Here is a 23,590-nt window from a genome sequence, read left to right as displayed (position 1 = left end):
ATCTAATTGTTTAAAAGTGGGTGCGGCTCCTCCTTCTCTCTCTTCCTTCTGCTCTGGCCATGTGAGACACCTCACTCCCCGTTTGCCTTCCACCACAACTGTAAGTTTCCTGAGGCCTCTCCAGAAGCTGAGCTGAAGCCGCTATGCTTCCTGTACAGCCTGCAGAGTCACGAGCCAATTAGACCTCTTTTCTTTGTAAATTACCCAGCCTCAGGTATTTCTTTATAACAGCATGAAAACAGACTAATATACTAAGAAACTAAAAACAGGAACCATGAGTGTTCCTATATATAAGCAATTATTACTTAGAACAATTAAAACAAATTCTATTAATGAGAAGCAGCAGACATTTAGGAACAAACCTAACAGGAAGAGCGCAGAGCCTATTACTACTTGCGGACTTTACTGAGGCAGTGAAAGAACATTTGCATAAACAGAGATTTATTCTTTGTTCCTGCAAAGAAAGACTCAGTGTGGAAAACATATCTATTCCCCCAGAATTAATGTAGATGTTTGGTGCTGTTTCAATACAAATCCCAGTCACATTTTGGAGAAAACTTAACAAAATAATTCTGAATTTTGTCCAAAAAAAAATAAACAAGTGAGATTAGCCAAGAAAATCATTTCAGGTGGGAGGGATGTTTAGAAGCGTGGTGAAATCAAATGAACATGCCAGGTATTCAATACTAAAGGGTCCCATAAAGTCCCTGATGGCCTCATCAGGGCTGTTGGGCTGGGGCTGACCTTCTCTCTCCACCTATGCCACCTCCGCCCCCCTGCACAGCCTTGGGTTTCTGGCCCTCTGGGTTGGAGGAGAAGCTGAGGTATGGCAGGAAAGTCTCCCAATGACTCCCTTGTAAGTTGGTGTCATAAGTTGAATTGCGGCCCCCAAAATGAAATGTCCAGTTCCAATCCCTAGAACCTATGAGTGTGATCTTATTTGGGGGGAAAATGGTGCTTACAGATATAATGAAGGATCCCAATATGAAACCAGCCAGGCTCACCCAAGAGAGCCCTAAATCAAGGACAGGTGTATCCATAGGAGACAGAGGAAGAGGAGGAGACACAGGGGGGAGAGCAGGGGCCCCTGGGAGACAGAGGCAGAGATGGGAGGACGCAGTCCCGAGCTGTGGAGACCCTGCAGCCACTGGGAGCAGGAAGAGGCAGGAAGCCTCCTTCCCTGAGCTCCGGAGGGAGCACAGACCTGCTGGCACCTTGATTTTGGACTTGTGTCCTCCAGCGTTGGGGAAGCCTGTGTGCTGAGAGCACATTCCTATTCTTGTAAGCCACCCAGTTTGTGGTCATTTGTTACTGCAGCCAAAAAACAGACATTGCATGTGTCTGGAGCAGCAGGTGCTCCAGGCTGGTTCTTTGGCATCTCTATTCCACAAGGCTCTCTGTCCCCAGACCCTCGCGTTCCCATGGTACCTCCAGCTTCTTGCTGTCGGGGATGTTCGCCCACCAAGGAGGCTTCTCAGAAGGCCCTAGGATATGCCGCGCCTCCACTCTCACACACACGTGGTCCACGGACACATGGGCGGTGGTCCCGGCAGCACCAGGCACACTCCACCCACAAATGCTGCCCCTGCAGCCACTGCCCACCCAGCACCAGATCTGTTCCTCCCTCCAGCATGGCCTTCTATCCGCCTTCATTTCCTCAGGGGCATCGCTCCGACCCCCTGTTGTAGGGGACACATGCCTGCTGAAGCTCCCCTCACTTGGCTGGTGGTAAGGGACCAGGAAAGGGCTCCAGGCTCCCAGCAGCCAGCCCCAAAAGTCTCCCTCCCAAACTCTCTGCCCATCACCAGGCTCACCCCTGTTCTATAAAGTTTCCAACCAGTCCTTGGCCACCCACTTTCAGGAAGTTCTTCAGGTGGTGGATCTTGCCACAGTATTTAATATCTACCATCATAACTACCTGTAACTTATATAAAATTTCACTGTTATAAAGCTGACATCACAAATGCCAACAAGAAACACAGGCCCCCAGTCCAACAGTTGACAAGGAACTGTATTCTGCTAATAACCACAGAAGTGTGGAAGTGGATCCTTCCCCAGGTGAGCCTTGAGATGAGATTCCCAGCCTGGGCCAAAAACTTGACGGCAGCTTTGTGAGACCCTGGGGCAGAAGACACAGCGAACCTGTGCCTGGATTGCTGGCCCACGGTAACCACCATAAATGTGTGCTGCTTCAAGCCACTGGGCATGTGGAACTGTGTTACACAGCAATAGATAACTAACACAGATAATAAGACTCACCCAGTTAAAATAACCATCACTCACTTCCAACCAGGATTCCTCCTGCATTACGATGGAAGCATGTCTCCTCTAAGAGAGGGTCTCACAAACCTCACCTAAGGGGCTTCCTGGAAGCCTGTGTGCCCACCAGGAAGTAGCCTTAGGTCAAGGGCATTCTCAGCCCACACCCCCCACCACCATCAAGATCACTACATTATCACTAATACTAGCATGAGGAACTGAAAGGTAAGAGCAAACGCCACCTTTACAGCATTGGCTAATCCTCCTGAAATACATTTTTCAAGGTGGGTTCTGATTGAGGTTTCTTCTCCAGAAGGCAGTGGAGCCGGGGAAAGCCAACCCAGTTCCTATCTTGACCACACCTCTCGTTAGCTGGGCCACCCCTTGTACAAGCCTTCCAGCACCTATCTAACTCAGTATTCTCATCTCAAAAAATTTTAAGCCATTAATTTTGCAAGAAAATTGTGGGCAATATGTGAAAAAAAAGATCAAGTTTCAGTATAATGGAGACCCATGATAGATGTCCAATAAAAGCAGCTAATGTTTCACATGGTTGTCCTTGATCTTTAAAAATCCTCTTATTTAAAGAAGTGGAGAGATATTTTGTGGTAGACCGTCCTACTACTTTTTTGAGGGAATAAATCCATTCTTTGCTGAAGGAAGTTTTAGTGAATGGATGAATGGATAGAGGGATGGATGAGTGGATGAGTGGATGGATGGATGGATGGACGGATGGATGGGACAGATGGATGGATGGGTGGGTGGATGGGTGGATGGATGGATGGATGAGTGGATGGATGGATAGATTGATGGGTGGGTGGGTGGATGGATGGATGGATGGATGGATCAATGGATGGATCAATGGATCAATTGATCAAATAATGCATCAGTGGACTACAGTGTGTCCTTTTGCATGTTTTTCTAGGATCCTAGACTTTTTGAGGACAGATGGACAAGTAGGATAGTAGGGCCAGCCCACTGGAGTCTGGTTGATGAAGGGTCATACAAGACTTGGAAAAGAGCTTTGAAGAACACAGTTTGCCCAAATACAAGGACAGGCACAGAGGGGAGCGAATATTCTGCAAACAGATTCATCCCCTGCTGGAGAGAGAGCCGCAGCCACAGCAAGTAAACTTGAAAAGGGCAGTGTGACGAACACCCCCAGGAAGCTGGGCACTGAGAAGCACTGCCCCAGGCAGGGCAGCACAGGGCCTCTCCCTGCTCCCATCTTCTGCTCTCATCAGTTTGGTGTATCTCAGAGCATCAGAAACAACCCCAAGGCCAAGGATTTCAGGGACCTTGGTATACAGCCCCCTGCTCAGCCCCCTCCAGGCAAAGAGAGCTCCAGGCTGTGGCCTGGGGCAGATCACCAGAAACAATGGCAGAGAGAGACACCCCAGCACATTCGGGAGGGGTGCAGCCCAGCACCTAGAGACAGGCATGGACCAGCCAGGAGCCAGAGGCCACGTCTCCCTTCTGCTGCACCAGGGCAAGTCCAAGTCACGCTTGTCTCTCCAGCTGCTCTCCTTTCTCCTCCACATCCTGCCTTTGGTTTTCTCATCCTCTTAGGGCAAATTGTGTGTGGGTATCTGTCCAGCTGGGGCCAATGACAAGGGACAGAGTGATAGAGTCAAACTCTCCAGGGTGTGAGTGGGGTGTGGGCAGCCAGACCACAGATCCCAGCATGGAGGACGTGCACACAGCTCAGAGCAGATTGAATTCAGAGCTGTGTGCTTGCTGGGGACAAGGAGGGGGAGGCAGGGACCTGAAATTTGAGCTCATCTTTAAAAGATCTTAGGGTAAAAATACATAATCTTTTAATTAAAATTTTACTGAATTTTAACTTGAATTTCCCCATCTGCTTCCTTAATTATGCCTAACCCTAAACCTAACTCTAAGCCATCTGTGTTCTTATCTCATTATATTGGGGTTATTTGTGTGTTTGTCCAATTTCTGCAGGAAACAGTGAGTCCCTCATGGGGAGGGGCTGAGGCTGGGGCATTCCGGATCTTCAGATCCAGACAATGCCTGTCGCACAATAAGGTCTCAGAGAGGGTTTTTCGGACCAATCCTTTATCAGTGGGTGATTGGATGTGTGGACAGAGGTGTGAATGGATTGGGAGGACAAGCAGATGAATGGGAGAGTGGGTGGCTCCTCCTGGCCCGAGCTCCCTGGTCAAGCCAACCCTGAGGTCACCATGATTTTGCCGTGACTTTCAAAGTGAAGTCGAACGGGGAAAGAGCACCGGAAGGCAAGTGCCTCCTCTTACACACACACAGATTTGTGGATTTGGTGTACATTGACTTAACCACTGGCTTTTTTTTTCATGAGCCACGGGATTTGCTCTCTGTTCACTGGGCTTTCATCAGAATCAGCAGCCATGAAACCCTGGGCTGAGAGTCGAAGCCTCTCCTCTGTGACCCCAGAGAGTGAGCGGGGCTGCAAACTCGCTCAGCATGCTGTGGTTGAGAAGCTACGGCATGGATTGAGCTGAGAAGTGCTTATATATTTATAAATATGGTACCCACACGCACTGACGCTGCCAGAGCCCAGGCTCTTGGGGCAGAGAAGTCTGCAGTGAAATGAAGCAGTCCCCACCCCGTGATGGTGTGCAGGCCACTCAACCCGGCTCTTCTCTAAAGCTGGGTAAAAACAGCCTCTGCTCCACATGACTGCCCTGAGGTGCACCGGTGTAGAAGTGCTTAACACGCTTTACAAACTGCTTGGCACACAGCAAGTGCTCCATAAGTGCTCCCATTGTGAGTTTGACTCCGTGTAATCCTGCAATGCAGACTCACTCGACAAAGGAAGGCAGCCTTGAATCCCAGCCAGCCGCTTCTCTGCCTCAGCTGGTCTTGCTAAGCCCTGGCATTTCCCATCCAGGGCTGCAAGACAGAGGCAGGTGCCATATCCCTGCATTCGCCCTGTACTGGGCATTACCTGCCTACAGCCCTAATGCTGCTGTGTCCAGCCCAGTGGGTGCCCTGGAGCTGACTTGTGCTGATTTCACCGTGGAGTCCTGAAGGAGCCGGCCAGTCAGAAAGGCCAGGTCATAAGCGTGAGCCCAGGTCAGGAGAAAACGCGTGTTTATCAGCACAAAGCTGGGCATCGTGGCCAAAGGACAAGCTGAGAAACTTGCACTAAAGGCACATATTCACGGCTGGGTCATGCACAAACTGCTCTTAGAAAATACAGATTTCAACTAAGAACAAGAAGGCGTTTCCTGAAATTCTGGGGAGACGACTTCCCCTGTTGTAGGAGACACAGAATACCAAACAGGGTCAGAGGCTTAACCCTGAAATATGTGTTTATATTATTTATACGATGCATCTGTAGCATATATTATAATATTTATTTGCAGCAGCTAAATATGCATGGGAGGGGGACAGGAAGAGAAAGAGGAGAGGGGTGGGCCCCTGGCCCAGTGGCACGACGGCCTGAGGCTCGCCCTGCTCCTGACGCCTCGGCTTTGAAGATCCTGATCTTTCTTTAGAGTCAAGCAAATTATCTCCAGACAAAGTGGCGGTCCCTTTGCACACGTGCACTCCTGCTCCCATGGGTGGGCACGCACACATGTGTGTATATGCATGTGTGTGCCTGAGCCAGGCACTCAGACATGAGCAGGGGGCTCCCCGAGGAGGCTGACCCTGCCACGAACCCCACTTCAGGGAGGAAAGAATGGGACGAAGGTATGGAGACACAGGGAAGCCAAGGGACCCGCCCAGCCACACGGGCTCCCCACGGCTGGGCCACAGGGCCTGCCCATGTCCTGGCAGCGCCTCCAGGGTGGCCACCTGCAGGAACCTGCCGCCCTGGCCTCACTCAGTTTTTACCAAACAAGTGTCATGCTGTGGCACCAGTGCCATGGCTGTAAACACGCCCAGCTCTTCTCTCCTGTCCCTCCTCTACTGTCCCGTGTCCCTCCTTTCAGCCCTTCGCTGGCTCCCGCCCTAGGGGTCAGCTCGACTTCAAAGTCACCGAGCCCTCTGGTTCCCTGTGAAGTCCTCAGTCCTGGCCTGTCTTGGATGTTGCCATCAGCATCTCAAATGAAACCCACCATGGACCGCCCTCCAAGATTAGAATTGGCTCCGGGGTCCCACCTCACCCCCATGTCTGTTCACGGCCCTGGGTGTATGGCTTGCTGTGGCTGTGAAGTTGAGGGTTTCATGGTGGGCCTGTGGGCCCAGGCCTGGCCCCGTCATGGGCCCAGGGCTTCCTCCCACACCCCACGCACACACAGGGCTAATTTGGAAAACCAACACAGGTTTTTGAGGGAGGGCAGGAAATGACCATTTTTAAATCAGAAGTCCCCCATCAATTTATAAAGAACACTTTAACAGCAGAAGTAAGAAAGACAACATTCCAGAATAAAGAACAGATCTTCAAACTCAACCTGCTTTTGCTTCATTTCTCTCATATCTGCATCCTTTCCTGCCTACATTTCAGTCCCACTCACTTAGGGACTTTCACTATAGATGACAGTCAACTAAGGTTCCAGACCAGACCACCCTAGACACCAGGAGGAGGTCCGAGCAGGTAGGGAGAGGGTGGTGGGGGACCAGGCAGCCTGCCTTCGAGCCTGGAGCTCCCTGGCAGCCATGGCGAGAACCGGCTCAAGGGGCCATGGGGCCACTGGACCCACAGGTGCAGAGTGGAGGGAATTCTGTGCACGCTGGTGGGGTCTGCTCTGATCTCCCCCATGGTGGCCCTGGTCAGTACCCGGAAAGTATGGTGCTGAGGACACTTCAGGAGCCCAGCGTAGAAACTGGCCTTGAATCCCCCTGGCTGCTGAACCCCAGCCCTGAGCCTTCTCTGTCCCACATTGCTCCTGAGAAAACAAAAATAATCTTAGGCTCTGGCCGAAGAAAAGCTCACTGATTATGGAAGAGGCAAGACTGTTGCTATTCTCAGTAGGAGGCATGTTTACTTCTTTGCGTGAAGGTATTTCTAAACACAGGTAATTATAAAAATCATTACCCCATGAACCAGCGTGGTAAACCAGATGGTGGGTAATACATTCATAAATAATTACCTTGTACGAGTTCTCTGAAATAATACTTCCTATTCACTTTACACCTTTCTGTAGAAAATAAATCTCCAGCATTCTCTCATTTGGAAACAGGCAAGCAGCGACTTTCCCTTTATTAAAGGAATAAAACAGATGTGGAGGAGGCACTCCTTGGCTTGGTCTTCAGGGCCTAGTCCCAGGGACCATGCCACAGGCTGCTCAAATCCTCGCCCCAGTGGTGCTGGTCCTGATGCCGTCCTGGAGCCAGCCACAGGGACCACCCCTGCCAGGATCCCATGTCCCTGGCTGACACCACAGCCCAGCTGGATCCTCTTCAGCCAGCTTCTCTCTGGTGTCTTCCAGGACCCTTCTGGCTGCTTTGTGCACAGAGCTTGCTTCATATGACAGATGATATGGTTTGGCTGTGTCCCCAACCAAATCTCATCTTGAATAGTAGCTCCCATAATTCCCACATGTTGTGGGAGGGACCCAGTGGAAGATAAATGAATCATGGGGACAGTTTCCCCCATATCATTCTCATGGTAGTGAATAAGTCTCATGAGATCTGAAGGTTTTATGTGGGGTTTACCCTTTCCCTTGGTTCTCATTCTCTCGTGTCTGCCATCATGGAAGACATGCCTTTCCCTTCCGCCATGATTGTGAGGTCTCCCCAGCCACATGGAACTGTGAGTCCATTAAACCTATTTTTCTTTATAAATTACCCAGTCTTGGATATGTCTTTATCAGCAGCATGAGAACAGGTTAATACAATGGAGAATTTCAGGTAGTGACAGACAGAGCATGATGAATCCCATAAGGCCCTGTCCCAGCTCCATCCTCCACCTACTCAGGCCCATCCTGCCCTGCCCTTTCCCAGCAGTGGCTGAGAAGGCTGAGAAGATGGGGCCTTCGGGCCAGGCCAGGCGCCAGGGCCAGTCAGCAAGCTGCAGCCTCGGCCACCAAGCCCTCCCTCCCCTCCTCGCCATGTCTCCTTTCTGGGGCTGCCTCCCCCTAACGCAGGGCTCAGCGTCGCCTTGTTCACCGATGGCTAGGCCTGGTCCTGTCCTGCCTTCTCAGTCATTCCCCCAGTGTCCCCGTGCCCTTGTAACTGTTGCACAAATCTACAAAGTAAATCCTGCTTGTAACTCCACTGATGGAAACACCAAAGGATTCTGCAAAATTTCTTAATTCTCTTTATACGTGTATCTTTCTCATTTAAAAAAGTCTTTCCTCCAGCCTTTTGTGAAAAGCAAGTCTAAAGCTTCGAAGCTGTCCTCACCACCCCAGCGTGCGTGACCTGACCTTCGCGACACCAGCGGCTCTCCAAGCTGTCTCTCCTCACCAGCCTCTGCTCGGTTAAGTTTGGGGGTTGATTTGCTTGCCAGTGCCCATTACCTCATCGGCAGTGGTGCCCGGCTCAGGAATGTGGGTATCTGGTGGGCATTCATGCGAGAAACGCTTCCCATGGCCTCTGCGTCTAGATGGCATCATCAGTGGACATGGAGCCACTTTCCCCATAGATGTCATTCTGCCACCTTCTCCTTTTATTTGTCTCACCAGATAGCCCCAGACCTTTCTGATGTGTTTGGTCTTTCATTCCAGGAATGTCTAGGAAGCACCATGGGTTGGTTGGTGGCTGGCTGGGGACTGCTCAGGGACCAGTGCATTGCCCTCAGCTCCTACAGATCCTCCCTGTGGCGAAACACCTTCCAAGGACGCCTCCTGTCACCTCAGTTGCTGCTGACTCAGGATTCCACAAGCCCTCCTTTTCCAATCTTAGTTATTTTTCCAGTTCCAGAATCGCCCTCGACGACAGCACCGTGGTTTCCGGGCCGTCTGCCTCGCTTCTTCTGCAGGAGCTGCGGTGGCTTGCAGCTTAGCTCTCTTACTCTCCAGGCTCCGTTCCGCTTCTGAATCTCGCTCCTCCATTTACATTTATTTTTCCTCCTTTTGTTCTGTATTCATTGTCTGAGTTTATCATGTGTTTCATTCACTGGGATTTGGGCACGGTCGATTCCGGCAGGTGTGCCGTCTAATGATGACGGAGATGACCCCCGGAGGCGCCCTTTATTTAAGTTCAGGGGCACACGTGCAGGTTTGTTATGGGGTAAACTCGAGTCGCAGGGGTTTGTTGTAAAGATTACTTTGTCACGAAGGTATTAAGCCTAGTACCCATTCTTGTTGGAGAAGCATTTGAGATGAGGGTTGCGGGTGGCGGGTTCCAATTTATTGCTTTTTTTCCCCCATTTTAGAAAAAACTTTTTTTGATCCAAAACTTTTTCTTGCTGGTTAATACTTCTATGGGCTGTCCTTCTTGATGCTTCTTGTGATTCTTTGGTTATTTACAAGTAAAATGCTCAGCACGGGGACTATTCATTGAATGGGCAGGAAATGCTAGTGCTGCCACGCCTGCTAAAGGGGCCGCAGCCCATCTATCAAATCTTCTAGCAGAACTGCAGGTTAAATTCCCGGCATTTTTGTCCATCCCACCACCGCAGAGGTCCTCGGATGGAGCAGCCACGACTCTACCCGGAGGGGGCTCTCAAGCACAGGCCACCATCCCGAGGCTCAGTCCCGAGCTGTGAGTTTCTCTGGACACAGTGGCTGCTGCTGAGAGGAGGGACCTGAAGTGGGCCTTGGCCTTTGGCCGCCCCCACAGCCCCACGGGGAGACCCCGCCTCTGACATTGATCAGAGCCCAGGGGCCTCTCCTACTGTACAAGAGAACGCACCATCCATGTGTCCCGAGGAGGGCGCCTGCTTAGCATGAATCCTGACACTCACGAACCACCGAGGTAGTGTTTTAAATCACAGATCTCTGTTGAGGAATGTCTGCGGGCGGACGCACGATAGGTCCCAGGGAATGCCGGAGGTCGCCTTGACGCCTGCGTGCTTCGTGCTGTCTTCTCTGGCCCTGGCTGCTTCCCAGGCTCATCTCAGTGTGGAATCTGATGTCCAACGAGGACCCCACCGTCAGCTCCACCTCTGGAGATGCTGAAGGCAGGGCCGGGCCCCTGTGGCACGCCCGGAAGTAGCCTGGGCGGAGGTGGTAACTGTGCGTCTCTCCATCTGCCTGGCCAGCGCTCCTTCCCTTCCTCCTTCCACGGTGTACCTGAAGGCAAGGCACAGCTGCATTCCGGTTGCTAAGAAAATGACTCATACCGTGAGTGGTGGGGTCTGAGTAGTATCCATACGCTATTTTTTAATGCACTATGAACAATATGCCTACTGACACAGAGATTGTCAGGGAAACAAGTTTACTTAATGTTGCATATACTCACCATGGTTACGACTTGGCACAAACACTAAGTATTTATATCAATAGGACAAAGTTCAGATAATCACTGTAATGTGCATTTTACTGAGACAAATCCGTTGAAAACACAAGATTAATCAGGCAGGTCAGGAGAAGGCATGTTCCCAGGAGTGTAGTGATCTGATGGATTCAAAATAGATTTATAATTGATTGGAAGCAGTTCACCACCCACCAGCCTCAACTTCATGTTCAGAAGAGATTCCCCTAAATTGAGAAGTCACAGAAAAAATTCTTACCAAAAATCGATATGCAAAACATCACGACATCCCCCAGGATGGTGCTGAAGATGGTTCCCTGCAGGAGGGCCCCATCCTGAGCACACCCAGGCTCCGGCCTCGACAGACCTGCAGCATCGGGATTCCCGGTGAAATTCTTCCCACCCATGGGAACCCTGGTTGTCTAACACAGATCTCCTGAGGGGCCCTCAGAGTCTCTAAGTCACTATTCCAAGAGCTGCAGCCTCAGGATTGGGGGGGCGTCCTTCCCGCCCACAGAAACCCTGTTTGTCTAACACAGATCTCCTGAGGGGTCCTCAGAGTCCCTAAGTCACGATTCCAATTACAGAACTGTCTTTCAAACAGCAATTTCTAAAAATGTAATCACAGATCAAAATGACCACTCTGTTTAGAAAGAAATTTTACTCATATTACGCTTGTCTTCATAGCACGTAATTTCTTCAGCTATCTTTGCCCATTCTTTCTTTTCTTTGACAAATGTCTGTGCCCACTTCCAGGCCTGCAAAGCAAAGGCAACCATGAACAGGTCATGTCCCTCTGGGCAAATCTGCCCTAGGACAGGAGAGAAATGGGAACTGGTGGACACACGGTGCCAGGGAACCATCGTGCTGTGAGGGAAGAGCGCGGAGCAGCAGGGAAGGAGAAGAGCAGCGGGGCGTGGCTCTGGACAGAGCAGGAGGAGCAGGAGCTCAGAGCCCTGCAGGCAGAGCCAGCTGTGGATCCTCAGGGCTGAGACAGGAATGAGGGCGACAAGATGCCCAGAGTGGCATGAGCAGGAATGAGAGGGTGAAAATCCAGCTGGGACCCAACCAGAGGCCTTGGCATTTGAACTGGGGAGTCATGTGATTGGATTTGGGATCTACAAAAAAATATCTATGGAAAACAGCAGGGACGTTCCTCAAAAAATTAAACATGGAATTACCATTTGATCCAGCAATTGCCCTTCTGCATATCTACTCAAAAGAACTGAGAAGAGCAACCCAAGCGGATATGGGTTCCCCCATGTTCACAGCAGCTTTGCTCACAAGAAGCAAAGACGGGAAGCAGCCCCCATCCACGGACAGATGGATGGATCCACAGAGGCCGCCCAGCCATGGATGGAATCATGCTCAGTCTCGAGGCGAGAGGAAACTCTGACCCATGCTACAGCACGGATGGATCTTGAGGCCATCGTGCTAAGTGAAATAAGCCAGGCACAAAATGCAAACACTGCGCCATTCCACGCATAGGAGATCCCTGGAGTGGTCAGATTCACCGAGGTGGAAAGTAGAAGAGGGGCTGCCGGGGCAGGGGATGGAGAATTCATGTTTGATTGGGACAGAGTCTCAGTTTGGGAAGATGAACAATTCAGGAGATGGATGGCGGTGATGGTTTCACAACAGAGTGAATGTGCTTAGTGCCACTGAACTGTACACTCAGAAATGGTTAAAATGGGACACTTTATGCTATATACATTTAGCCACGTATACATACATCCGCCAGGTGGGCCTATCACCTGAGGTCAGGAGTTCGAGACCAGCCTGACCAACATGGTGAAACCCCGTCTCTACTAAAAATATAAAAATTAGTTGGGCATGGTGGCATGTGCCTGTAATCCCAACTACTTGGGAGGCTGAGGCAGGAGAATCACTTGAACCTGGGAGGCGGAGGTTGCAGTGAGCCAAGATCACGCCACTGCACTCCAGCCTGGATGACAGAGCGAGACTCATAAATAAATAAATAAATTTAAAGAACACTCTAGCAACTAAGCAAACAGTGGGATCCGGAGAGAAGAAAAGCCAGAGGCACCCCCAGTTCTCTGGAGGAGAGGGCCCAGGGCTGGAAGTAACTAAGGTGGCGGGTGTGGAGTGGGCAGGAATGGGCAGGTGCAGGATCACTTTTGAAAATGGTCGATGGAGCAAAGGTGGGGGCTAGAGGCAGGAAGAATGGGAGTGGAGGCTTGGCGTGCATGCACCTGCATCGTTTGAGGGGCCATTCTGAGATGGGGGGATTCATAGCATGGGGCTGGGGCCCAAGGGCCAGGCTCAGTCTCACTCCTCCTGACCACCATGATGGTGGCTATGTGAGGAGTAGCTGGCTCAGGGCTGCAAACCTTTCTAGGAGGTGCTTGTACCATGCGGCATGTGGGGGCAACTAGAGGAGGCTGCCTAAGGCTGGAGGCTGCCGGCGCTCCCTTCTCCACCACCCAGGTCTAAGGAGAGCATGGTCCTGGGCACCATGGGAGGTGATGGCCCCAACCCTCAGGAAGCCCTGTAGCACTGAACAGGAGAGCTTGGGGCCGAGCCGGGAGCCCTCCCCACAGGAGCTCCCATGCCGAGACCCGGGGGGAGATGGAGGGGCTGCCCTCCCTCAAAGGGCCTGGTGCCTGGGTGCACATCGGATGGACAGGAGGTCACGGGTGTCCCCAGAGCCTCTGCTTCACGGGCCTGGGGGTTGGAGGGCCAAGAACCTGTGTGTCTAACACGTTGCCACGGTGCCTGGAACGACTGCAGAATGCCCTGCTAGTTCTTAGGTTGGTTCCAGGCTCCTAGAGTTTCTTCCTCCTATTAGGTGTCATTACCTACATGTTAAATATATCGCCTGGCATGTAATACCTACTTCAGAATTATTTTTAAGTTTCAAGAAGAGGGGTGTGGAGCACAGTCCCTCAAGGGCCCCAGGGGACGTGGGTGGTGTGCGCCCAGCTCCGAAGCTCCCTCTGGGCCTGGTCTTCTTCCTCCACGAGGCAACCCTGGGCCACTAGCAGAGAGGACAACGGTTGTGTCCCTAGACAGCTCTGCACTGTCCTTGTGTAGGGAGCAGGGCGCCTGCAATATGGAGACCTCCAAGACATAGATTCCCCACCTTGCAAGATCCCCAACCTCCTCATGCACCCTGAGTCAGGCCCCATGCTGAAGATGGAGAAATTCAACCCCAGCTCCCAGGAGTGGCCCCATCCGGAGACAGAGAGCAGGAGAGGGACACACAGGCCCTGTGGGGGACCCTGTGGTGACTGAGAGGGACCCCAGCACAGCCTCCCAGTGTGGACCCCTACTCAGTGTTCCTACAGCCCTGCCACGGGGGCTCTCTCCCCCAGCTAGCCCCCAAGCCTGTCCCAGGTGGGCACCATGCCTGGGCGTGGACCTGCCTGTGCCCCCACCCCGTGCAGGCTCCAAAACCTCTGCAAGGTGCCACGGTTACAGGCTCTGTTTTGTTGTTTGTTTGTTTGTTTGTTTGAGATGGAGTCTCGCTCTGTCACCCAGGCTGGAGTACAGTGGTGCCATCTCCGCTCACTGCAAGCTCCGCCTCCCGGATTCAAGCCATTCTCCTACCTCAGCCTCCCGAGTAGCTGGGACTACAGGTGCCTGCCACCATGCCCGGCTAATTTTCTGTATTTTTAGTAGAGATGGGGTTTCACCGTGTTAGCCAGGATGGTCTCAATCTCCTGACCTCATGATCTGCACGCCTTGGCCTCCCAAAATGCTGGGATTACAGGCGTGAGCCACCGCGCCCAGCCAGGCTCTGGTTTTTTTGATTGAGGTAAAACTCATACAACAGAAAAATGACCATTTTAAATATACAATTCAGTGACATTTAGGAGAGTCACAATGCTTTGTAACCACCACCTCTCTCTATTCCAAAACATTTATTTGAGACAGGGTCTCACTCTGTCACCAGGGCTGGAGTGCAGTGGTGCAATCATAGTTCACTTCAGCTTCGACCTCCCGGGTTCAAGCAATCCTCCCACCTTAGCCTCCAGAGTAGCTGGGACCACAGGTGTGTGCCATCACGCCTGGCTAATTTTTTATTTTTTATTTTTTGTAGAGACAGGGTCTGGCTGTGCTGCCCAGGCTGGTCTCAAACTCCTAGGCTCAAGCATCCCTCCTGCCTCAGCCTCTTGAAGTACTGAGATTACAGGGGTGAGCCACCACACCCAGCCCAAAACACTTTTACCACCCCAAAAGGAAAGTTGTTAAGTTCTACACCCCATTTTCCCTTCCACTCAGCCTGAGGCAGCCTCTGATCCACTTCCTGCCTCTGTGGGTTTGCCTGTCCTGGAAATTTCATATAAATGGAATCCTACAGTATGTGGCCTTTGGGGACTGGCTTCATCACTCGCCAGAGCATCTTCAGGGTTCATCCACGTTGCAGGAGGAATCAGCACTGCATTCTTTTTTTTTTTTTTTTTTTGGTGAGGGGGTACGGAGTCTCGCTCTGTCACCCAGGCTGGAGTGCAGTGGTGCAATCTCCGCTCACTGCAAGCTCCACCTCCTGGGTTCACGCCATTCTCCTGCCTCAGCCTCCCAAGTAGCTGGGACTACAGGCACCCGCCACCACGCCTGGCTATATTTTTGTATTTTTAGTAGAGACAGGTTTTCACCGTGTTGGCCAGGATGGTCTCCATCTGCTGACCTCGTGATCCACCTGCCTCAGCCTCCCAAAGTGCTGGGATTACAGGCGCCCGCCACCACGCCCGGCTAATTTTTTGTATTTTTAGTGGAGACGGGGCTTCACTGAGCACTGCATTCTTTCCGTGGCGGAATCACGTCCCATCGCGTGGCTGAGCCACAATGTGTTTACTCATTTCTGTCGATGGATATTTGGGTTGTTCCTGAATTCTGGCTGTTGCGCTCAGTGCTGTTACGAACAGTCATGAGCAGAGTCTGTTTTCGCTTCCTTGGTGTCTGCCTAGGCGTGGGCTTGCTGGGCCTCATGGTGATTGCATGTGAAACTCTTGGAGAAACTGTCACGTTTTCCACAGCGCCGCACAGCTGCTTCCACAAGACAACGCACGGCCCGGCCCTCCAGGCCCCCATGCAGGCTGGAGCCCAGCCCCACCTCCGTCCTGACCTTGGGAAGGGGACGGGTCACAAGCAAGATCACGGAGGTGCGGTAGGGGTGGGGTGGGGGTGGGCACAGACTTCCCGTGTGGACCGTCAGCCTCTCGCCACCCTGTGCCGGAAATGCAACGTTCCCCTTCCTAAACTGAGGCAAAAGGTAATCTAAGTATTTTTCAATCTGAAAACGGAGGAATTATTAATAAATGATTGATTCTTCAGAGATTCACCTCGTTTCCATTTTTGCCTTGTAACAATTAAGTCCGCTTGCTTTCGAGAGTGACCTATTTCAGTAGACCTGTTTAAACTGGATCAGCAGCAGCCCCGAGAAGCGGGCCTGTGCACACGGGGACACCGCCCGGCTCGTGCACGGCGTGCAGTGCTGAGAGAGAAGAGCTGTGTGTGCAGTCCTCAGGTTCCAGACTGACTTTCCTAATGCACAGTGCAGTCACGCCGCTGCAGCTCTAGAGCCCTCAGTGGCTCCCTGTTGCCTTCCAAACCAAACCCCAGCTCTGCAGCAAGAACCTCCCCCAACAGCTGCCAACCCTCCCAGCAGCCTTTTCACCAAGCGCCCCTTCTGCATACCCCACAGCCTAGGTGCTCCCTACACGGCCCCTTCTGCCTCCCTTATCCCTCCATGGGCCATGCCCCGCCTCACTTCAGTCCATCTCCAACACCGCCTCCCTCACGGAGTCCCCCCAACAACCACCAGGACCCACCACGGATTCCTGCTGTACTGGCTAAAGGCACAGGCCCCTCACTCTCTGCTCCTGGACCTCTCCCACATCACTGTTGCTCCTTGCTGACCACCGGCTGTGTCCCAGCTGACCTCGCGCTGTCCCCCAGCTGACCCTGGACCATCTCCCTGCTGACCTTGGGCTGTCCGCCAGCTGACCTTGGACCATCTCCCTGCTGACCTTGGGCTGTCCCCCAGCTGACCTTGGACCATCTCCCTGCTGACCTTGGGCTGTCCGCCAGCTGACCTTGGACCATCTCCCTGCTGACCTTGGGCTGTCCCCCAGCTGACCATGGACCATCTCCCTGCTGACCTTGGGCTGTTCCCCAGCTGACCTTGGACCATCTCCCTGCTGACCTTGGGCTGTCCGCCAGCTGACCTTGGGCCGTCTCCCTGCTGACCTTGGGCTGTTCCCCAGCTGACCTTGGACCATCTCCCTGCTGACCTTGGGCTGTCCGCCAGCTGACCTTGGGCCGTCTCCCTGCTGACCTTGGACCATCTCCCTGCTGACCTTGGGCTATCCCCCAGCTGACCCAGGGCTGTCTCCCTGCTGACCTTGGGCCATGTCCCTGCTAACGTTGGGCTGTCAACCTTGTCCTCTTCACCTCAGCCCTCCAGGGTCCTTGAAGCCCGCAGCTGGATCCCTCCTTCCAGCTCCTCTGATGCTGGGAATCTCAGTGGGAACAGTCTGTGTGGGGAGCACTGCAGTTTACCCTACTCCAGCCCAGTGAGAGGGGCGCATGGTGTTTTGTGTGAATTGCTTCCCCCCGCCAAGTCCATTGCTAGGGCCACACAGACACATGGACGGCGCCCTCGAGTCTCCGTGCCATGTCCAGGGAGGTCTACACTCTGATGTGGTTCGAAGGCCAGGCGAGGCTCTTGGCCTGCAGCATCCCTCAGCACACCTGCCCCTGCCTGTCTCAAGCTCTCTCTCTTGGCCATCACCAGAAAAATCCAGAGCCATTTCCCACATATACCAGGAAGGAGGACCCATGAGGCTCAGCTCCAAGTTACATAAATCCAGAGCCCAGTGAGCCACGCACTCCACTCTCTGGCTGCCAGGGAGGGGGCCATACCGGGCTGCCTTCAGGTCCTCCGTGGAAGGATTCCTGGGGCCAAAGCCCTGCTGGAACCGACCTGGTGCTCAGTGAGGGAGGCCCTTGCTGCCACAGAGCAGAAGCCCACTTCGCTCCAGGAAGGCAGATGCCCCGGAGGGATTTTGTCGCATTTACTGGTGCATGAGGGGAGGACAGAGAAGCCCCCCACCCTTGGGACATCCTCCAAACTGAAACGGCTGCCACTGCCTCCCCAGGCCATCCCCAAGTGAGAAGCTGCAGCCTGCCTCTCCACAGCCCTGGGGCCCAGACCTTGCTACCAACAGCCTTGACTGCCAACACACACCCCAGAGGGCTTTCCAGGCCAGGATGGAGACGCCGCCCTGGGCCCTCACACAGGTGTGTGCACCCCAGAACAGTCACTCACAAGGAGAACATGGGTGAGAACTGGGAAGTGGTAACCAGGCAGCCCTCCACCTGCTGCCTCCCTGCCAGTCCTCTACCAAGGGAAGCCCAGGGGAGTGGGCAAGCTCTGGGTATGCCAACAGAGGACCTCAACCTCTGTCCCCTTGGCAGATGTCCCCATGGAAGCCTGCGTGGCCCAAGGCTGCTCCCTGAAATCCCACCCAGACACAGAAAGGCCCATCAGCTCTGCTGGCCTGGCCCACAGTGACTCCCAGGCGAGGTGCCTGTTCCATGCAGAGCCTGCCATACTCTGGAGGCCTCTGCCCAGAACCCAGAACCCACACGCTCTTCTGACCCTTCTGAGTGTTCTCCCCAGAACTAGCAGGGCTAAGTTCTGGTCCAGAAGGGGCTGCACAGTGTCACATTTGAGTGGCCCCAAGAAATGTATCTTCAAAGTTCCGAAAGCTGGGTTTCTGGACCACTTCTTGGCCAGTCAGAACATTAACATTACTTTAACCCTCCTTGAGTGGTAATCAGCATTGACCATCGCAGTTAGACTAAGGGTCAGAGGCCACATCAGGTAGGTTGACTGCTCCAGCCAGAAGCCAAGGATCCCCTTCTGCAAGGTAAGCCCCAAGTGGGTAGGATTGTTCCAACAGGCTTGGGACGGAGCAGGCACTCCATGAATATTTGCTAATGAATGAATGGAAGATGAGCAGTTCTCCATCTCTCCTCCCTCAATTCATCACAAGTCCTATCAAATTCACCTGGCAAATATTTATTGAGTGACTACTATGTGCCAGACACCAGGGAAACCATGAAGATTCCATGATTAGCAAAAACAAATATGGCCCCTGAAGCATATGATCCAGACAACATGATAAATAGTAACCAAATGATCACACAGACTGGTGTATAATTACAAACTAGAAAAGGAACCCAGTGATAAGAGGCACCTAACAAAGGAATCTGACCTGGACCGGGGAGTCATATGAGTGTCCTCTAAGAAACGGTGCCTGGGCCAAGATCTGAACGAGGAAGAAGAGCTAAACAGAAGAAATTAAGAGAGGAGGAAAGAGCTTTCTAGACAGAGCAGCATATGCAAATACCCTGTGGTCATGAGGAGAATGAACATATTCCAGGAGATGAAAGAAGACAAAAGTGGCTGCTGTGCCCAGAAAAGGAGGGACTAGGGTAAGAAATTTTGTTGGAAAGTCAGAAAGTCAGGCAAGGGCCAAACTGTTCATGGCCTTTTAGAGGTGACATCAAGTAACATTTCAATGATTTAAAGGAGGAAATCTTTGAAGAGGACTTGAAGTGCCTTTAAAAAATTCACAAAGAGACGTTGAGTGGGCAGGTGGGCAAGAGAGTGGAAGCTCAGAGAAGAATCTGGGCAGAAGAATAAATGTGGAGCCATAAGCATGCAGGTGGCACTGGAGGCAGGGGGTGTAGATACACTTACCCAGAGCGAGCCAATAGAGAGAGAAAGGAAGAGACCCAGGGCTGTGCCTGGCTGAACCCTAGCATCCGGTAGCAGGCCAGAAGAAGATGAGCTCACAAGGGAGACAGAGGAGTGACCACAGAGACAGAAAGGAGGGAGGAAGAAAAGCACGAAAGAAGAGCCTACACCTCTCCTTCTCACTGCCACCACAGGACAGCCACTGCCTGCCCTACATCCCGCCACCCTGCAGGGACCTACTAGCTGATCTTTCACTCCAATGTCCTCTCCTTGGAACCTACATACCAGCCAGAGACAGCTCTGAAAAGATATGCCCTTCCCCTGCTTCAAATCCTTTTAAGTGTTCCCATTGCCATTAGGGTACTTTCCCATTTTTCCCAAGACCCCCAAGTCCTATGTGATCTCCCTTTCCAGTGTCCATGGCTGTGTGCTGTGCAGTCCATGCTCCAGGTTCAGTTCCAGGAGACGCCGAGCCTGCCCTTCTGCCCCTCCCCGGGGTGAAGTTGGGGTGTAGATCGGGCACCTCCTGGTCCCCAGTGTGGTTTGTCCTTCTAATAATGATCAAGGGGGTATCCTGGAGCTCCCAAGCACAGGCAAGAGAACCCAAGCGCACAATGCCCAATGGTGTGAGGGGCTCACCCCACAGCACGTTGGGAATGTCTTGGCCTGTCTCAGAATGTCTTTAGCACTGAGCAGTCCTGTAACCCCCACTTTAAGTTGTCCTTGTCATCCTGTAGTCTGGATACCCTCACTTTCTCCCTCAATACCCAGGCACAACATGTCCCCTCCGTGCCCAGGCTCCAGTTGCTGTGCGCCTCTCACAGTGCCCTGAACTCAGCATGTTCATGGGGACTATTTCAGTTGCAGGTGATTGACAGAATCCACACTCAGAGCATCTTCGACCCAAGAGGAAATTCTTTGCCTTCAACCACTGAAAACCACATTCAAGATCTCACAGAACCGAAGAGAGAGCTGCAGGACTCAGGGTTCCAGAAAAAGAAGCTGAAACTCCACCCAGCATGTCCTTCTCACCCCTTCTTCCTCTTACCGAACTCCTATTCATCCTTCAAGACGCTGTGCAATTGCTACCTCCAGAAAGTTCTAAGTGACTCCCCTAAGCAGGGTCCCTCTTCATCCTCTGGGATCTCAGAGATTTACGTTTGTGCCTCTTTTATTGTACTTTTCACATTGCGTTGTAAGCGTTTTTTTCACACACCAACCTCCTCCAGGAACCCAGGGCCTCCTCAAGGACATAGACTATGCTTTCTCCTCTCTCTCTCTCTCCCTCTTTCCCTGCTGGATACAGCCTATTCACACGCACAGTAGGCGTCAACAAACACGACTACATCAGATGTGGGCTTCTCAATCCTGGTACTGTGTTCTTTAACTCTTCTTTGGACCTGAAGATGCAAAGGAGCCATATGAATTTGGGGATGGTGGAGACAGCTGCCCTCGGGGCTGTGAGCTGAGGGGGCCGAGCCTCCCCAGCGGGACTCTGATCTTGCTCACTCTGCATGGCAACACCCACATTTGCTTACTCGATACACACCACATACATGCTTGATAATTACAGGCTGCTGTGGATTTGTCTCACCCGCATTTGGAAGATCCAAAAGCAATTACCCTGCAGCCTCCCTGCGCTCAGGAAGACAGGAGTAATCAGGGCTAATGACACAGCACTTACTGTGTGATCTCCTGCCGCTATGCTGTAATTACTATGTAATTAAGTGGTCACCAGTTACCATGTAAACACGGCTTACACTTGATGCATCTATGGCTTAAACAACCCTACAAACTCATTTTAATTTCAAAGTGTTGAATGGAAAACAGTTGGTCGGCACAGATAGAGGACACCAGGTCGGAAAACTGTGAGGGCTCCTGGGAAAGAGGAGGATGCCCTTTCAAACCTCAGTGTCGCAGGTGTGGGGCAGAAAAAGAAACAGAGCAAAAAAAAAAAAAAAAAGGGAAAGAGTACACAGTGGATTATCTGCAAGAATGCGCCAGGTGCTATATGCAGAAGCACCTCATAGACTGTAAAGGACCAGCCAACTGCTTGCGTGCAACCATACTTTTATAATTTGGTGATCCCTTGGGACCAGAGAATACATTCCAGACCACCCAACAGAATGTCATAAGGAAGACCCTCTTTTTCCCAGAGTAAAATAATCTTGAGTCAGGCAGTTCGAACCTTCCACTCTGCTGCTGAAAACTCTTAGGTCTTCAGAATAATAGAGGAAGGGAGGAGTTATTTCTTATGTCCCAATATCTTGTGACCGACAGGATGATGGGTACTCTAATGCCACAGCTAATTCTGTGTCAACTTGACTGGGCTAAGGGACGCCCAGATAGCTCGGAACATCTTATTTCTGGGTGTGTCTGTGAGGTGTTTCTGGGAGAGGTTAGCATTTGGATTGGTGGACAGAGTAAAGAAGACCTGCCCTCCCCAGCATAGGTGGGCAGCAACCATCCGTTGAGGGCCCAGATAGAACAAAAAGGCAGAGAAGGGTAAACCTGCCTCCCGTTTGAGCTGGGACACCTGTCTTCTCCTACCCTTGGACAGCAGCACTCCTGGCTCTCAGGCCTTCAGATGTGGACTGAGCTGCACCACTGGCAGTCCTGGGTTTCTAGCTGCAGGCAGCAGCTGATGGGACTTCTTGGACTCCATGATTGTGGGAACACATCCCATAATACATCTCTCCCTTTCTCTCTCTCCATATGTGTGTGTGTGCAAGTGTGTGCATGTGTGCACCTGCAAAAAAATCTTCTGGTTCTCTTTCTCTGGAGATCCCTGACTAATGCACCTGAAGACATGGCACCAGCGATTGGACACGCCTTGCTCACGCTCATCAGGAAGGTGAGGCTCCGTGGTGGAAGGTCTCAGCCCCACCCAGGATTGGTCATTAGCTGGCCTGGGGTTTGGTGCCTGTGACCTCCCAGAGGTCCTGAGGAAGCCATTCTATCCTGGGTGTTGTGGGTAGGGGTGAGGCTACAGTAGGAGCTGGCCCAGGAGGGCAGGAGGGTGGGTGGCAGGAGACCAGCTGACAGGTCTCAGAAGCATGGCTGCCTCGCTCCCTACCACACAGGCTGTGAGGAAACCCTCCAGGCATGGAGAGAATCTCCCTCCCTGTCTTCCACCCACCTGTCTGCAGCAGAAGCTAGGCTACCTCCTGGAGCCCCCAAAACAGTCAAGGTCAAAACAGACCAGAGGGCCAGGCCTTCATTTCTTCCAATTCGGGAGGACATCATGGGTCATGGGGGTGGGGGAAACACGTGTCAGCAAATGACCCCACCCCAACCCTAATTGGCAAATGCAAAGCCAATGCTGTCACCTCCCTTGGCCTTCTGGGAGCACTCACCATGCACGAGCACCCCTGCGCACAGCCAACTTCCTCCACTCAGTTCCCAGCTCTGTGCTCCCTGGGGGTCCCAGTTCACCTCTTGGCTGCTCCTTGTGGCCTCTGGGACTGGATCCTCCTCCCCTTCCAGGATGCTACACAAGACCCTGTTCCTAGCTGCACTTGCCCACTGGGTGGTCTCTGAGTCCCAGTCCCATGGCCTAGATGCTGTCTTTGCACAAACGACATGTGCATTGCCATTTCCATGCCTCGTCTTTCTTACAGACTTACTCCACAGGGCTCGCTTGACCAGCTGTCAAACAAGATTAAGTCTCAAATCCACAGATTAAGTCCACCCATCGGACTCTGTGCGACTGTCACAAAATGTCACCAACTGGATAATTCATAAAGAGCAGAAAGAGGCTGGAAGTCCAAGATCAAGGCACTAGCAGGTTCATTGTCTGGAGAGGGCCCGGTCTCTGCTCCCAAGATGGTGCCCTGAACGCTTCATCCTCCGGGGGAGGAACGCTGTGTACCCATATGGCAGAAGGTGGAAAGGCAGGTGAGGGATGAATGCCGAACAAAGCTCTCTCATAAGGGCCTCAGTCTCACTCACAAGAGGGGCAGCCCTCATTGCCTCGTGGCCTCTTAAAGACCCACCTCTTAACACATCCCATTGGCCATTAAGTTTCAACACCTGAATTCTAGAGGGTACACATTCAAACCACAGCACCACCCAAATGTCAAATATGCAACCCAAACTTCACATGTGTACAGTGGCTGCTGGGTTGCATACCCTCCATATCCCAACTTCCCCTTTAAAATCAAGACAACTGTCATCCCAGCTGCTGGCAGTGTCGGCTGCTAACAGCCCACATCTGGGTTCCTTCTGGGACTTGCCCTCATCCAGGATAACATCCAGGCACAGGCGACGGGAAGCCCTCCAGCAGCAGCACCCAACAAA

The 23,590-nt window shown here is 52.3% G+C and overlaps 1 annotated feature.

Moving 5' to 3' along the window:
• Positions 16,258 to 17,215: an enhancer, noted in NCBI's record as "H3K27ac-H3K4me1 hESC enhancer chr2:240397877-240398834 (GRCh37/hg19 assembly coordinates)". NCBI's record gives its function as "activates a minimal SCP1, AML or CMV promoter by ChIP-STARR-seq in naive H9 embryonic stem cells {active_cell/tissue: H9 hESC(naive)}" and the evidence as "EXISTENCE:reporter gene assay evidence [ECO:0000049][PMID:30033119]".

The sequence above is a fragment of the Homo sapiens genome, chromosome 2 (genome assembly GCF_000001405.40).
Source record: "Homo sapiens chromosome 2, GRCh38.p14 Primary Assembly".
Classification (NCBI taxonomy): domain Eukaryota; kingdom Metazoa; phylum Chordata; class Mammalia; order Primates; family Hominidae; genus Homo; species Homo sapiens.
This window is presented reverse-complemented; position numbering and strand designations above follow the sequence as displayed.